A 19,020-nucleotide genomic window follows, 5' to 3' on the forward strand; every position below is an offset into this window, starting at 1 on the left:
GCCTGGGACAAGTTCTCAGCCCTGCTCACTCACTGCCTGGAAACAAACTTGGTGCTGTCAGGGTGGGGCACGGTGGGAGTGAGACTGGCCTTTTGGGTTGCATGGGAGCTGGGTAAGGCCTGTAACTTCTAGCTTTCCCCTACTTCCCTAACAACCTGCATGACATAGCAGAGCAGCCATAACTCTCCTGGGAGCATTACTCCATTGACATGGGTACCATACCCCCAACCTCCCAACCCCCACAGCAGCCTCAGTAAGCCAGGCCCAAGGAGAGTCTGAGCTCAGACATGCCTAACCCACCCCAGTAGCTGAAGACAAAGGCCATATTATCTTGGGAGTTCTAAGGCCTCGCCCACCTCCTGATTCTCCTGATTCTCCCCTATACTACCACAGCTAATGGTCTCTTGAAATCCTCACCTCCTGGCAGGAGGCCAACCAGCACAAACCTTGTGCATCAAGCAACTGCGACTAAGGGCACTCACAGAGTCCATTTCACTCTCCCGCCACCTCACTGCCAGTCTCACTGGAGACTGAGAGAACTGAAGATGGTTCACATCAAAGCACTCTGTGCAGACAGCCCCCAGTACCAGACCAGAACCTGGTAGCCCTGCTGAGTGGCTAGATCCAGAAGAGAAATAACATTCATTACAGTTTGGCTCTCAGGAAGCCACATCCTTAAGAAAATCAGGAGAGTACTACATCAAGGGAGCACCCCGTGGTACAAACAATGTGAACTGCAGCCTTCAGCCCGAGATCTTCGCTCTGACATAGCCTACCCAAATGAGATGGAACCAGAAAAACAATTCTGGTAATATGACAAAACCAGGTTCTTTAACACCCCCCTACTGCCAGTTACACTAACTCACCAGCAATGGATCCAAGCCAAGAAAAAAATCCCTGAATTGCTGGCAAAAGAATTCAGACTGTCAATTATTAAGCTAATCAAGGAAGCACCAGAGAAAAATGAAGTCCAAACTTTAAAATTTTTTAAAAGAAATACAAGATATGAGGGAAGAAATCTTCTGTGAAATAGATAGCATAAATAAAAAACAATCACAACTTTAAAAAATAAAGAACACAGAGAAATGCGAAATGTACTGGAAAGTCTCACCAATAGAATTGAACAAACAGAAAAAAGAACTTCAGTGCTCAAACACAAGGTTTTCAAAGTAACCTAACCAGCAAAGACAAAGAGAAAAGAATTTCAAAAATGTGCAAAGCCTCCAAGAAGTTTGGGATTATGTTAAATGACCAAACCTAAGAATAAGAAAGTGGAAATCTAAACGTTAGGAAAACATATTTGAAGGAATAATCAAGAAAAATTTCCCTGGCCTTGCTAGAGATCTAGACATCCAAATACAAGAAGCTAAAAGAACACCTGGGAAATTTATTAGAAAAAGATTATTGCCTAGGCACATAGTCATCAGCTTATCTAAAGTCAAGATGAAGAAAAGAATCTTAAGAGCTGTAAGGCAAAAGCACCAGGTAACCTATTAAAGAAACCTATCAGATTAATAGCAGATTTCTCAGCAGAAACCTTACAAGCTAGAAGGAGTTGGGGCCCTATCTTCAGCCTCCTTAAACAAAACAATTATCACCCAAGAATTTTTTATCCAGTGAAAATAAGCTTCATAAATGAAGGAAAGATACAGTCTTTTTCAGACAAACAAATGCTGAGAGAATTCACCACTACTAAGCCAGCAGTACAAGAACTGCTAAAAGGAGCTCTAAATTTTGAAACAAATCCTGGAAATACATCAAAACAGAACCTCTTTAAAGCATGAATCTTGTAGGACCATAAACAAAATACAATTAAAAAAAAAGGTATTCAGGCACAAATAGCATGATAAATGGAATACTACCTCACATCTCAATACTAAAGTTGAATGTAAATGGCCTAAATGCTCTATTAAAAAATGCAGAATTGCAGAATAGATAAGAATTCAACAACCAAGTATCTGCTGCCTTGAAGAGACTCACCTAGCACATAAGGACACACATAAACTTAAGGTAAAAGGGTGGAAGAAGATATTCCATGCAAATGGACACAGAAAGCAAGCAGGATTAGCTATTCTTATATCAGACAAAACAAACTTTAATAAAGCAACAGCAGTTAAAAGAGACAAAGAGGGATATTATATAATGATAAAAGAGCTTGTCCAACAGGCAAATATCGCAATCCTAAATATATATGCACCTAACACTGGAGCTTTCAAATTTATAAAACAATTACAACTAGACCTATGAAATGACAGATGGCAACACAATAATAGTGGGGGACTTCAATACTCTACTGACAGCACCAGACAGGTCAAGAAGACAGAAAGTCAACAAAGAAACAATGGATTTAAACTATGCCCTACAACAATGGACTTAATAGACATTTACAGAACATTCTATCCAGCAACCATAGAATATTCATTCTATTCATCAGTGCATGGAACTTTCTCCAAGATAGATGATATGATAAGCCATAAAATAAGTCTCATTAAATTTAAGAAAATTGAAATTACATCAAGTACTCTCTTAGACCACAGTGGAATAAAATTGGAAATCAACTCCAAAGGAACCTTCAAGACCATGAAAATACATGGAAATTAAATAACCTGCTCCTGAAAGATCATTGGATCAACAATGAAATGAAGAGGCAAATACAAAAATTCTTTGAATTGAATGATAATATTGACACACCTATCACAACCTCTGGGAAGCAGCAAAAGAAGTGATAAGAGGAAAGTTCATAGCCTTAAATCCCTACATAAAAAAATCTGAAAGAGCACAAATGGATAATCTGAGGTCACACTTCAAGAAATTAGAGAAATAAGAACAAATCTTAAACCCAGCAGAAGAGAAGAAAGAAAAACAAAACTCAAACCCAGAAGAAGAAAAGAAATAACAAAGATCAGAGCAGAACTAAAAGAAATTGAAACAAAAAAATACAAAAGATAAATGAAACAAAAAGCTGGTTATTTGAAAAGATAAATAAAACTGATAGACTGTTAGGAGGGTTAACTGAGAAAAGAAGAGAGAAGATCCAAATAACATTAATTAGAAATGAAATGGGAGATATTACAACCAGCACCATAGAAATATGAAAGATCATTCAAGGCTACTATGAACACCTTTACACATATAAACTAGAAAACTTAGAGGACATGGATAAATTCCTGGAAATATACAACCCTCCTAGCTTAAATTAGGAAGAATTAGAGACCATGAACAGAAAAATAACAAGCAGTGAGATTGAAATGGTAATTAAAAAAATGGCCAACAAAACCAGTCCAGGACCAGATGGATTCACAGCTGAATTCTATCAGACATTCAAGGAAGAATTGGTACTGATCCTTTTGACACTATGCCACAAAACAGAGAAAGAGCAAATCCTCCCTAAATCATTCCATGAAGCCAGTAACAACCTAATACCAAAACCAGAAAAGGACATAACAAAAAAAGAAAACTGCAGACTGATATCTCTGATGAACATAGATGCAAATATCCTTAACAAAATACTAGCTAACTGAATCCAACAGCATATCAAAGAGATAATCCGTCATGATTAAGTGGGTTTCATTCCAGGGATGCAGGGATGGTTTAACTTATGCAAGTAAATAAATTTGATACACCACGTAAACAGAATTAAAAACAAAAATCACATGATCTTCTCAATAGATACAGAAAAACATTTTACAAATTCCAGCATTCCTTTAAGATTAAAACCCTCAGCAAAATCAGCATTCAAGGGACATGCCTCAATGTAATAAAGTCCACCTATGACAAACCCACAGCCAACATAATACTGCAAGGGGAAAAGTTGAAAGCATTCCCTCTGAGAACTAGAAGAAGACAAGGATGCCCACTCTCACCACTTTTATTCAACATAGTGCTGGAAGTCCTAGCCAGAGCAATCATACAGGAGAAAGAAATAAAAGGAATCCAAATTGGTAAAGAGGAAATCAAACTATAACTGTTTTCTGATGATATGATTGTATACCTAGAAAACCCTAAAGACTCGTCCAAATAGCTCCTAGAACTGATAAATGAATTTAGAAAAGTTTCAGGATACTAAATTAATGTACAGAAATTAGTAGCTCTGCTATACACCAACAGTGATCAAGCTGAGAATTAAATCAAGAACTGAACCCCTTTTACAATATCTGCAAAAAAAAAAAAATACTTAGGAATATACCTAACCAAGGAGGTGAAAGACCTCTACAAGAAAACTACAAAACACTGTTGAAATAAATCATAGATGACACAGACAAATGGAAACACATCTCATGCTCATGGATGGGTAGAATCAATATTGTGAAAATGACCATACTGCTAAAAGCAGTCTACATATTCAATGCAATTCCCATAAAAAATGCCACCACTATTCTTCACAGAACTAGAAAAAACAATCTTAAAATTCATATGGAACCAAAAAAAAAATTTTGCATAGCCAAAGTAAAACTAAGCAAAAGAAAAAATCTGGAGGCATCACATTACCTGACTTCAAACTATCCTATAAGGCCATAGTCATCAAAACAGAATGGTACTGGTATAAAAATGGCCACATGGACCAATGGGACAGAAAGGAGAACCCAGAAATAAACCCAAATACTTACAGCCAACTGATCTTCAACAAAGCAAACAAAAACAAAGTAGAGAAAGGACACCCTTTTCAACAAATGGTGCTGAGATAATTGGCAAGCCACATCTAGGAGACTATATCCTCATCTCTCACCTTATACAAAAATCAAGTCATGATGGATCAATAACTTAAATGTAAGACCTGAAACTATAAACATTCTAGAAGATAACACTGGAAAAACCATTCTAGATATTGGCTTGGGCAAAGACTTCATGACCAAGAACCCAAAAGCAAATGCAACAAAACAAGGATAAATAGGTGGAACTTCACTAAAGAACTTCTGAAAAGCAAAAAGAACAGTCAGCAGATTAAACAGACAAACTACAGAGTGGGAGAAAATCTTCACAATTTATACATCTGACAAGACTAATATCCAGAATCTACAAGGGACTCAAACAAATTAGCAGGAAAAAAGAAAGAAAGAAAAAAAAAATCCCATCAAAAAGTGGGCTAAGGACATGAATAGACAATCCTCAAAAGAAGATGTACAAATAGCCGGCAAACATATGAAAAAATGCTCAGCATCACTAATGATCAGGGAAGTGCAAATCAAAACCACAGTGCGATACCACCTTACTCCCACAGTGCAATAAAAATAAAAATCAATACCACGAAGGCCTCACAAAACAATATCATTAAAAAGTCAGGAAACAACAGGTGCTGGAGAGGATGTGGAGAAATGGGAACACTTTTACACTGTTGGTGGGACTGGAAACTAGTTCAACCATTGTGGAAGTCAGTGAGGTGATTCCTCCGGGATCTAGAATTAGAAATACCATTTGACCCAGCCATCCCATTACTGGTTATATACCCAAAGGACTATAAATCATGCTGCTATAAAGACACATGCACACGTATGTTTATTGCAGCACTATTAACAATAGCAAAGACTTGGAACCAACCCAAATTTCCAACAATCATAGACTGGATTAAGAAAATGTGGCACATATACACCATGGAATACTATGCAGCCATAAAAAATGATGAGTTCATGTCCTTTGTAGGGACATGGATGAAATTGGAAACCATCATTCTCAGTAAACTATCACAAGAACAAAAAACCAAACACCGCATATTCTCACTCATAGGTGGGAATTGAACAATGAGAACACATGGACACAGGAAGGGGAACATCACACTCTGGGGACTGTTGTGGGGTGGGGGACGGGAGAGGGATAGCTTTAGGAGATATACCTAATGCTAAATGACGAGTTAATGGGTGCAGCACACCAGCCTGGCCCATGTATACATATGTAACTAACCTGCACATTGTGCACATGTACCCTAAAACTTAAAGTATAAAAATAATAAAATAAAATAAAATAACAACAATACAATTCTGTGGAAATTCAGCAACCTGCTACTGAATGACTTTCAGGTAAACAATGAAATTAAAGCAGAAATCAAGAAATTCTTTGAAACCAGTGAAAACAAATAACATACCAGAATCTCTTGGATACAGCAGTGTTAAGAGGAATGTTTATACCACTAAATGCCCACATCAAAATGTTAGAAAGATTTTAAATTAACAACCTAACATCACACATAGGAGAACTAGAAAAACAAACAGAGAGCCAAATCATGAGTGAACTCCCATTCACAATTGCTTCAAAGAGAATAAAATACCTAGGAATCCAACTTACAAGGGATGTGAAGGACCTCTTCAAGGAGAACTACAAACCACTGCTCAAGGAAATAAAAGAGGATAAAAACAAATGGAAGAACATTCCATGCTCATGGGTAGGAAGAATCAATATTGTGAAAATGACCATACTGCCCAAGGTAATTTACAGATTCAATGCCATCCCCATCAAGCTACCAATGCCTTTCTTCACAGAATTAGAAAAAACTACTTTAAAGTAAGTTCATATGGAACCAAAAAAGAGCCCGCATCGCCAAGTCAATCTAAGCCAAAAGAACAAAACTGGAGGCATCACACTACCTGACTTCAAACTATACTACAAGACTACAGTAACCAAAACAGCATGGTACTGGTACCAAAACAGAGATATAGATCAATGGAACAGAACAGAGCCCTCAGAAATAACGCCGCATATCTACAACTATCTGATCTTTGACACACCTGACAAAAACAAGCAATGGGGAAAGGATTCCCTGTTTAATAAATGGTGCTGGGAAAACTGGCTAGCCATATTTAGGAAGCTGAAACTGGATCCCTTCCTTACACCTTATACAAAAATCAATTCAAGATGGATTAAAGACTTAAACGTTAGACCTAAAACCATAAAAACCCTAGAAGAAAACCTAGGCATTACCATACAGGACATAGGCATGGGCAAGGACTTCATGTCTAAAACGCCAAAAGCAATGGCAACAAAAGCCAAAATTGACAAATGGGATCTAATTAAACTAAAGAGCTTCTGCACAGCAAAAGAAACTACCATCAGAGTGAACAGGCAACCTACAAAATGGGAGAAAATTTTCGCAACCTACTCATCCGTCAAAGAGCTAATACCCAGAATTTACAATGAACTCAAACAAATTTACAAGAAAAAAACAAACAACCCCATCAAAAAGTGGGCAAAGTACATGAACAGACACTTCTCAAAAGGAGACATTTATGCAGCCAAAAAACACATGAAAAAATGCTCATCATCACTGGCCATCAGAGAAATGCAAATCAAAACCACAATGAGATACCATCTCACACCAGTTAGAATGGCAATCATTAAAAAGTCAGGAAACAACAGGTTCTGGAGAGGATGTGGAGAAATAGGAACACTTTTACACTGTTGGTGGGACTGTAAACTAGTTCAACCATTGTGGAAGTCAGTGTGGTGATTCCTCAAGGATCTAGAACTAGAAATACCATTTGACCCAGCCATCCCATTACTGGGTATATACCCAAAGGACTATAAATCATGCTGCTATAAAGACACATGCACACGTATGTTTATTGTGGTACTATTCACAATAGCAAAGACTTGGAACCAACCCAAATGTCCAACAATGATAGACTGGATTAAGAAAATGTGGCACATATACACCATGGAATACTATGCAGCCATAAAAAATGATGAGTTCATGTCCTTTGTAGGGACATGGATGAAATTGGAAATCATCATTCTCAGTAAACTATCGCAAGAACAAAAAACCAAACAATGCATATTCTCACTCATAGGCGGGAATTGAACAATGAGAACACAGGGACACAGGAAGGGGAACATCACACTCTGAGGACTGTTGGGTGGGGGGAGGGGGGAGGGATAGCATTGGGAGATATACCTAATGCTAGATGATGAGTTAATGGGTGCAGCACACCTGCATGGCACATGTATACATATGTAACTAACCTGCACAATGTGCACATGTACCCTAAAACTTAAAGTATAATAATAAAAGAAAAAAGAAACAAAGAAACAAAAAAAAAAGAAAAAAGAAAAACAAGCATAAACCAATCCCAATGCTACCATACCAAAAGAAATAACCAAACTGGGTTTTAAAATGAGTGAAATTGAGATGTGAAAAAACCATACAGAAGATCAACAAAACTAAAATTTAGCTCTTTGAAGGAATGAATAAGATTGGTAGACTGCTAGATAGACTAATCAAGATAAAAAAGAGAATATATGAAAAAACACAACCGGAAATGACAAAGTGGCCATTACCACTGACCCCACAGAAATACAAAAAAAAAAAAAAAAAAAACCCTCAGAGACTATTATGAGCACATCTATGCACACAAACTGGATGACCTCCTAAGATTGAAACAGGAAGGAATTGATACCCTAAACAGACCAATAAAAAGCTTTGAAATTAATCAGTAATAAAAAGTGTACAAACCAGAAAATGCCTTGGGCCAGATGAAATCACACCAGATGTTTAAAGGGATGGTGCCAATCCTACTGAAACTATTTCAAAAATGGAGAAGGAAGGACTCCTCCCTAACTCATTTTATGAGGCCAGCATCATTCTGATACCAAAACATGGCACAGACAGAACAAAAAAGGAAAACTTCAGGCTAATATCCCTAATGAACATTGATGCAAAACTCCTCAACAAAGTACTAGCAAACCAAATCCAGCAGCTACATCACAAAGCTCATCCACCATAATCAAGTAGGCCTTATTTCAGGGATGCAAGGTTGGTTAAACATACACAAATCAATATATGTGATTCATCACATCAATGGAACTAAAAACAAAAACCACATGATCATCTCAATAGATGCAAAAAAGGCTTTCAATAAAATTCAACATCCCTTCATGTTGAAAACCTCAACTAATTAGGCATTGAAGGAAGATACCTCAAAAAAATAAGAGCCATCTCTGACAGACCCACAGCCAACATCATACTGAATGGGCAAAAGCTGGAAACATTCTCCTTGAGAATCTGAAAAAGACAAGGATGCCAATTCTCACCATTTCCATTCAAAATAGTATGGGAAGTGCTAACCAGAGCAATAAGGCAAGAAAAAGAGAAAAAAGTGCATCCAAATACGAACAGAAGAAATCAAACCATCTCTTTTCATAGATAATATGACTTTACACCTAGAAAAGCCCATAGTCTCAGCCCAAAAGCCCCTACGTCTTATAAACAACTTCAGGAAGGTTTTAGCCTACAAAATCAGTGTACAACAGCATTTCTACACACCAAAAACACCCAAGCTGAGAGCCAAATAAAAAATACAATCCCATTCATAACAGCCTAAGAAACCTGGGAAAACAGCTAACTAGGGATGTGAAAGAAATTTTGTACAAAGAAAATTACAAAACACTGCTGAAAGAAATCAGCAACAAGACAAACAAATGGAAAAACATTCCATGCTCATGGATAGGAAGAATCAATATTGTTAATGTGGCCATACTGCAAAGCAATTTACAAATACAATGCTATTCCTATCAAACTACCAACAATATTTTTCACATACTTAGAAAAATCTCTTTGAAAATTCACATGAAACCAGAAAAGAGCTCGAACGGCCAAAACAATGCTAAGCAAAAGAACACAGCTAGAGGCATCACAATACCTGATTTCAAAGTATATTACAAGATGACACTAACCAAAATAGCATGGTGCTGGTGCAAAAAACAAACACATAGACTAATGGAACAGAATGGAGAACCCAGAAATAAAATAGCACACTTACAACCATCTGATCTTCAACAAAGTGGAGTAAAACAAGCAATGGGTAAAGGATTCCCTATTCAATAAATGGTGCTGTGATTGAAATTGGACCTCTTCCTTTCACCATACACAAAAATTAACTCAAGATGGATTAAGACTTGAATGTAAAACCTAAAACTATAAACACCCTAAAAGAAAACCTAGGAAGTGCTGTTCTGTACATAGGACATGGAAAAAATTTCATGACAAAGATTCCAAAAACAATACCAAGAAAAGCAAAAACAGGCAAATGGGACCTAATTAAACTAAAGAGCTTCTGCACAACAAAATAAACTATCAACAAAGTAAACAGGCAACCTACAAAATGGGAGAATACATTTGCAAATTATGCATCTGACAAAGGCCTAATATCCATAATCTGTAAGGAACTTAAATTAACTGGCAAAACACTAAGAACCATGTTAAAAAAATGGGCAGAGGACATGAACAGACACTTCTCAAAAGAAGACATATATGCAGCCAACAAACATTTCTAATCATTAGAGAAATACAAATCAAAACCACGAATAGATGCCATCTCATACCACTCAGAATGACTTTTATTAAGAAGTCAAAAAATAACTGTTGCCAGCAAGATTGTGGTGAAAAGGTAATGCTTATACACTGCTAGTGGAAATGTAAATTAGTTCAGCCACTGTGGAAAGCAGTTTGGCTATTTCTCAAAGAACTTAAAACAGAGCTACCTTTCAACTCAGCAATCCCATTAATGGGTATATACCCAAAGGAATATAAATAATTCTACCATAAGGACACACACACTCGTATGTTCACTGAAGCACTATTCACAATAGCAAATACATGGAATCAACGTAGATGCCCATCTACAGTGGACTTGGTAAAGAAAACATGATACGTATGCATGATGGAATACTACATAGCCATAAAAAGGAACAAGGTCATGTACTTTGCAGCAACATGGATGGAGATGGCAGACATTATAAAAAGGTAATTAATGCAGGAACAGAATACCAAATAATGCATATTCTTTTATAAGTGACAGCTAAACATTGGAGTACACATGTACACAAAGAGGGGAATAGACACCAGGGCCTACTTGAGGGTGGATGGTGGGAAGAGGGTGAAGATCGAAAAACTGCTTATTGAGTACTATGTTTATTACCTGAGTGATGAAATAATCTGTACACCAAACCTTCATGACATGCAATTAACCCATATATGAAACCTGCACAAGTACTAGCTCCACATAAAATAAAAGGTGGAAAGAAAAAAATGAAAACGCTGCCCCTCCAGTAAAAAAAAAAAAAAAAAAAAAAGAAATGCTATACCAATTTCCATACCCACCAACTGTGCATGTGCATAAAACTTTCTTCATACTCTTGCCAACACAGGGTATTATCAACTTTTTTAAAAATTGACAATCTAAGTGGCTAAAAACATCTCATTATTGTTTACTTTGCATTTGTTAACAATTTTTTGTTTTTTGTAGTTTTTTTGAGATGGAGTCTCACTGTCACCCAGGCTGGATTGCAGTAGCACAATCTCTGCCTTCTGGACTCAGGCAATCCTCACGCCTCAGCCTCCCAAGTAGCTGGGACCACAGGCGCATGCCCCTACACCAGGCTAATTTTTTTTATATTTTTAGTAGAGACAGGGTTTCACCATTTTGCTCAAGTTGCCCTTGAACTCCTGAGCTCAAGTGATCCGCTTTCCTTGGCCTCCCAATGTGCTGGGGTTACAGGCGTGAGCCACCATACCCGGCCAGCATTTGCTAACAGTTAATTAAAGTTAAGACTCAGGTCATTTATATTTTCCTATGAATTTCCAATGTATATCCTTTGTTCATTTTTTTTGTGTGGGTAGAGAGTGGATTATATTGTATTAGGTAAGAATTTAACTTTGTTATTCCCAAATGAATAGCTGGTTTGCCAAGTGCAATCTAATTTATTTATAAATTAAAGATTATTTAATTTATTAAGTAATCTATTTTTTCTAATTAATTTTATATGCCACCACATTTATCAAATACAAATCCTCATATATGTGTCTATTTTTGAAATCTCTTATTTTCTTTAATCTGTTTGTTTAATCATATTTCATTAACACCCTGTTTTTTATCTGTGAATTTATGGTATCTTTTTATGTTTGGAAGAGTAAAACTGTTCATATTTATGTTGAAATTACAGTTATACCTTAACTGGGGAAAACTGACATGGTATTAATACTTACTTACATAGTTTGAGGACAGAATCAAGCACAAGTGTATCCTTAATAAATAATATATGGTGATGCCTTCACTACCACCTGGTGATGATACAAATGACCAAAGGTCTCACTTGAAATCCTGCTGTCATGCTGGGAATCAAGCCAAAAGTTATATGAACAAAAATTCAACTATTACCAAAACTTCACCTCTCATGAATGCTATGTTTTCAGCGAAGACAAATTGCTCACAAATTACACAATCTTGTGCAAATCAAGACTTCTGTGCCTTTTGCTTATGCTGTTTCTTGTATCTAGAGTATCCCATCTTTTCTTTTCCCAGCAAATTTTTATTTATCTATCAGAACTCATTCCATTCTGTCCCTTGTCTGTTATGATTTCTCTAATAGGCAATTATTTTTCGTGGAACCTATGAAGTAAACCATTAAACTATCTTTTCGTTTGTTATTTTTAACTATAGGATTTTATCCCTACCATTTCACTGAAATGGGCTTGTCAAGTTCACCAATAACCTCCAAGTTACTAAATCCAGTAGTAAAATTTCAGTCCTCACCTTACTCAAAATTATATGTAGCAAAAGATAGTTTTAGTCATTCATTTTCTTGGAAACAGTTTCTTTATGTTACTTCTGGCTTCCTATGCTCTCTTGGTTTTCCTCCTACCTCTCTGGCTCTGGTTTCTTTACTGAATCTTCCATATCTCATCCAACTCTAAACTTTGGAGTGATACAAGGATCAATCTTCGGAGCTTGTTTCTTTGTATGCTCGCTTTTTAGATACTATCCTCCACTCCTATGCCTTCACATGCCATCTAAATGTCAACTATTCTTAAGTTGTATATACCCAGCTAAAACCATACCCCTGAAATTATAACATATATCTAACCACCTACTTGATATCTTTACTTGGATATCTGTTAGGCATCTCAAACTTAACATGTCCCAAACTTAAGTCTTCTTCCCCACCCTTTATCACCAAACCTACTTAACCTTCATTCTTCTCCATTTCAAATAATGACAATTCCATCTTTTCATTTGGCAAGGCCCAAAACCTTGAGGTCATCTCTTGGAAGTCTCTGTGACACTCTACATCCTATCCAACAGCATACTGAGGAAATTCTGCCTTTGGAACATGATCTCAACACCTCTAACATTACTACTGTGATGCAAGCTACCATAATCTTTCATCTGGATTAATGCAATAGCTGATTTAGTGGTCTTTTTGCTTGTCCCTGGCCTAACGTGACACTTTAAAAATATGGATCAGACATTGTCACTCCTCTCTTTGTAACCTTTTAATTGCTTTCTGTCTCATGCACAATAAAAGTCAAAGCCTGATCATGACCTCCAAGGCCTTATGCACTCTGGGCTTCTGCTACCTCTCTGACCTCATCTTTTGCGACTCTTCCCTTTTCTGTCTGTGATTTTGCCACACTGGTCCCCTCACTGTTCCTGGAATGTAACAGACATGCTCTCGTCTCAGGCCCCTTTCATTAGTTATTCCCTCTGCTTAAAACATTTCTTCTAGATTGTCCTATGTCTTTCTCAGTTATCTCCTTTATGTCTCTGCTTAAATGCTACTTTCTTTAAAAAGCCTTCCTTCATTAAAATAGCAGCCCCTAATCACTCACTGTCTTTTACCTTGCTTTTATTTAACATTGTCTGACCTTAGATATTTGTTTATGTGTTTATATCTATCTCCCCAACTTGAATGAAGGTAACACAAGGACAGGGATTTATTTTTCTTATTCACTAATATGTCTGCCAGTGTCTAGAATAGTGCCTGAGACATAGTAGGCATTCAAAGAAGATATGATAGATGAACAAATGAATGAGTGGCATATGTAATAGACACCCTTATTTCATCCCACTTTCCCTTTCACATCCCTGAACTTAATTCCATTACCAAGTTTCACCCCAACCCTTACCATTCTTTACTTCCTCCCATTTCTGATCCTATGAGGTAAATCTCAGTGATGGAATGAGAGTCATGAATGGGTGTTATGTATGTCTCTTGAAAATAAGACAGGGAGAAAGAAAAATTTTATACTTTGTTGCAACCATTTAAACAATCTTGTCAATCTTGAGCTGCTTTGATAAGTTCAGTGCCTGATATATAGTAGAACTTCAATAAATGTTTATTGAATGAATAATAGAATAAAAATCCACGGGGTGAAATCTATCCAAGATAAGTGTCAAGTTCTATAGTTGGAAACATTGAGTCAAGTATGGTATTACAAAATATGGGAAACCCAGAATTCATGAAAAACAACAACAAAAAGGGATTTCGTTCAATCACTAATTCAATATGACCCAACACTGGTGATGTAACTGCCAAGATTATTCAATCAGTAGTGAACAGTTTCTTCACCAAATAGTCTGGGGCAACTGGATATCCCCATACAAAAGAATGTAGTGTATCTTACTTCTTACCATATACAAATATTAACTTAAAGTAAATTAAAGACTAAAATATAAGAGCTAAAACAGGAACTCATAGGAGAAAATATAGGGGTATATTTTCATGACCTTGCATTTGGGATTGGATTTTTACATATAACACCAAAAGCACAAACAAAGAAAAAACAAATAAATTGAACATCATCAAAATTAAAAACTTTTGTGCATCAGTGGGCATCATCAAGAAAGTGAAAAGGCAACCTGTAGAATAAAAGAAAATATTTGCAAATCATATACCTGATAAGGATCTAGTATCAGAATACATAAAGAACACTTTTCTTTCGGCTGGGCGCGGTGGCTCACGCCTGTAATCCCAGCACTTTGGGAGGCCGAGGCGGGTGGATCACAAGGTCAGGAGTTCAACACCAGCCTGGCCAAGATGGTGAAACCTCGTCTCTACTAAAAATACAAACAAAAACTTAGCCAGCCATGGTGGCGGGAGCCTGTAATCCCAGCTACTCACGAGGCTGAGGCAGGAGAATCGCTTGAACCCGGGAGGTGGAGGTTGCAGTCAGCCGAGATGGTGCCACTGCACTCCAGCCTGGGTGACACAGCAAGACTCTGTCTCACACAAAAAAAAAAAAAAGAAAAGAAAAGAAGTTGGTGTTTGTTTGTTTGTTTGTTTTGAGATGGAGTCTCGCTCTGTTGCCCAGGCTGGAGTGTGGTGGCACCATCTCAGCTCACTGCAACCTCTGCCTCCCGGGATCAAGCGATTCTCCTGCCTTAGCCTCCCGAGTAGCTGGGATTACAGGCTCAGACCACCACACCCGGCTAATTTTTGTATTTTTGGTAGAGATGGGGTTTCACCATGTTGGCCAGGCTGGTCTTGAACTCCTGACCTTAAGTGATCCACCCACCTTGACATCCCAAAGTCCTGGGATTATAGGCATGAGCCACAGCGCCCAGCCAGAATGCATAGAGAACTTTTAAAAACTCAACAAAAGAAAGACAAACAAGCCACTTAAAATATGGGCAAAGGATTTGAAGAGACGTTTTTCCAAAGATATGCAAATGGCCAACAAGCACATGAAAAGATGCTCAACATCACTAGGCATTAAGGAAATGCAAATCAAAGTCATAGTGTGATACTACTTCACACCAACTAGATTGGAAAATAACAAGTGTTGATGAGAATATAGAGAAATTGGAACCCTCATCCACTGATGTTGGGAAAGTAAAATGATACACCTACTGTGGAAAACTGTGGAAAATAGTTTGGAAGTCTCAAAAAGCTACAGTTACCGGATGGTCCAGCTATTTCACTCCCAGTTACATACCCAGAAGAATTGAAAACAAATGTTCAAATAAATTCTTGTACACAAATGTACATAGCACTATTCGCAATAACCAAAAAGTAGAACCAACACAAATATCCATCAACAGATGAAAAGATAAACAAAATGTGATATATCCAAACAATGGAATATTATTCCGTTATATAGAGGAATGAAATACTGTTACATACTACAACATGAATGAACCTTAAAAACATTGTGCTACATGTATACATATGTAACAAACCTGCATGTTGTGCACATGTACCCTAAAACTTAAAATATAATAAAAAAAGAACATTGTGCTAATGAGTGAACAGGCAACCTACAGAATGGGAGAAAGTTTTTTCAATCTATCCATCTGACAAAGGGCTAACATCCAGAATCTACAAAGAACTCAAACAAATTTACAAGAAAAAAAAAACATCAAAAAGTGGGTAAAGGATATGAACAGATACTTCTCAAAAGAAGACATTTATGCAGCCGACAAACAAATGAAAGAAAGCCCATCATCACTGGTTATTAGAGAAATACACATCAAAACCACAATGAGATACCATCTTATGCCAGTTAGAATGGTGATCATTAAAAAGTCAGGAAACAACAGATGCTGGAGAGGATGGGGAAAAATAGAAACGTTTTTACACTGTTGGTGGGAGTGTAAATTAGCTCAATCATTTTGGAAGACAGTGTGGCAATTCCTCAAGGATCTAGAACTAGAAATACCATTTGACCCAGCAATCCCATTACTGGGTATATACCCAAAGGATTATAAATCATTCTACTATAAAGACACATGCACACATATGTTTATTGTGGCACTGTTAACAATAGCAAAGACTTAGAACCAACTCAAATGCCCATCAATGATAGACTGGATAAAGAAAGTGCAGCACATATACACCATGGAATACTATGCAGCCATAAAAAACAATGAGTTCATGTTCTTTGCAGAGACATGGATGAAGCTGGAAACCATCATTCTCAGGAAACTAACACAAGAACAGAAAATCAAACACCACATATTCTCACTCATAAGGGGTAGTTGAACAATGAGAGCACATGGACACAGGGAGGGGAACATCACACGCTGGGGCCTGTCTGGATGTGGGGGGATTAGGGGATGGATAGCATTAGGAGAAATACCTAATGTAGATGACGGGCTGTTGGGTGCAGCAAACCACCATGGCATGTGTATACCTGTGTAACAAACCTGCACGTTCTGCACATATACCCCAGAACTTAAAGTATAATAAAAAAAAAAAAAGAAGAAGAAGAGAAAAAGAGGTACAAGATAGTCTGTGAAAAGTGTTCAAGATTCTACCCAGATGGGAGGAATTTTTCAGTGTTCAAAACATTATCTAAAACAATTCTGCTGTGAAAAAGGTTTAAAACACATATTTTCTTTCGTTATATGAATAGAGACATAGTCCTAGGGTATCTTTAAACAGAAAGCACAATTCAACTTTAAGTTGTACTCTAAGAACTTCCAAAATCTCAGCGCCAGTAGCAGTTGCTGTTGTCCCTGGGTGAGTGTATGACTATGGGAATGCCCGTAGGGAGTTTGATCAAGATTCCATTTTAGGTGGCCTGGTGGAAGAAAGAAGAAGGTATTGTGAAAAAGGAAATTGTATAATAGCATCATGTTATTAGACACATCAGAATGTGGCATATTGCACCAGTCATCATATAATCAGGGGGAAATGGAGAGGAGAAACAGACTTTCATAGGGCAGGATTTGAAGAGAAGGAGCCTAAGGCTTGGAACTGCTGCTAGTGGTGACGGAAAGAGCATAAAAGAAAGTTTTCCATTCTGTACATCTCACCTGTGCTGAATGAAATTCAACTGTAAGGAGAATTTCTGGGAAAGATTGATTTGACTATAGTGTAATATTGTGGCATCTTAAAAGGGGCTTTTAACTCTTACAGATACTTCTAGACTTGAAGTCTTATATATTTTAGAATAAAAGAAATCTGATGGGATTTGTGCAAAAACAAAAAACAAAACAAAACAAAACAAAAAATAAAAAACATTGTGCTAACGAAAGAAACCAGCGACAAAAGGTCACGTATTTCATTATTTCATTTATATGAAATATCAAGAACAGGAAAACCTATAGAAATACAAAGGAAATTAAGAGTTGCCAGTGGGTGGGGTTAGAGAAGGGTAAGCAGTGACTACTTAAATGGTATAAGGTTTATTTTTGGTGTGATGAAAACTTTTTGAAACTAAATAGAATGCCGAGCATGGTGGTTCATGCCTGTAATCCCAGCACTTTGGGAGACCGAGGTGGGTGGATCACATGAGGTCAGGAGTTCGAGACCAGCCTGGCCAACATGGCGAAACTCTGTCTCTACTAAAAATACAAAAATTGACCGGCAAGGTGGTGCACATCTGTAATCCTAGCTACTCAGGAGGCTGAGTCACAAGAATTGCTTGAGCCTGGGAGGCGGAGGTTACAGTGATCTGAGATCATGCCACTGCACTCCAGCCTGGGCAACAGAGTGAGACTCTGTCTCAAAACAAAACAAAACTAGAGAGAAGCAATGGTTGCACAACATTTTGGATGTACTAAATGTCACTCTAATTATACACTTTTAAGTAGTTATTTTTGTGTTATGTGAATTTTACCTCAATAAAAATGTTTGGGCATATGCTACATGCTGTGCACACCTCACAGATATGCATGCACACCCTCAGAAATTAATAATGCACTTTTGGTATTAATTGTTCCTTGAGCAGGAATTCAAAGAATTAAAAGATAATTTAAAACCCTACATAATAAAGCAAAATATGAATAACTTAAAATTAGGCCCTAATTCTTCCAATTATTCTTCCTTTTCTTTACTGTTGTGTTCTCCTACTCATAAAAATTACAGAACTCATTAACCAACTCTACGTCTCTGTTGTTGGTGAGTTTATACCATTTCTTAAGAATAAAAATACATTCGAACTTTAAAACAAAGGATCCTACACGAGCTTTAAAAAAAAAAATAGAGAAATACACCATAACTATACTCTATGCTCCCTATGAAGTAGAAGTAGCAAAAGGAAAACATGATAATGGCTCTGTGGATTTTGTAAGAAATGTGTATTAGTCTGTTCTCACGCTGCTAATAATTAAAGACATACTCAAGACTGGGTAATTTACAAAGGAAAGAGGTTTAATGGACTCACAGTTCCACATGGCTGGGGAGGCCTCACAATCATGGCAGAAGATAAAGAAAAAGCCAAGGGGTATCTTACATGGTGGCAGGCAAGAGGGCATGTGCAGGGGAACGCCCCTTTATAAAACCGTCAGATCTCTTGAGACTTATTCACTACCA

General features: G+C 37.2%; 1 protein-coding gene and 1 long non-coding RNA gene across 4 annotated transcripts in view; both read left to right on the plus strand.

The window, feature by feature from the left end:
• KLF8 (KLF transcription factor 8) overlaps positions 1 to 19,020 on the plus strand; it is a 383,409-nt gene that overhangs the window by 221,642 nt on the left and 142,747 nt on the right. The window lies entirely within an intron of this gene.
• Positions 1 to 19,020, plus strand: part of LOC124900486 (uncharacterized) — a 150,609-nt gene that overhangs the window by 75,280 nt on the left and 56,309 nt on the right. The window lies entirely within an intron of this gene.

This window comes from Homo sapiens, chromosome X, assembly GCF_000001405.40.
Source record: "Homo sapiens chromosome X, GRCh38.p14 Primary Assembly".
Lineage (NCBI taxonomy): Eukaryota > Metazoa > Chordata > Mammalia > Primates > Hominidae > Homo > Homo sapiens.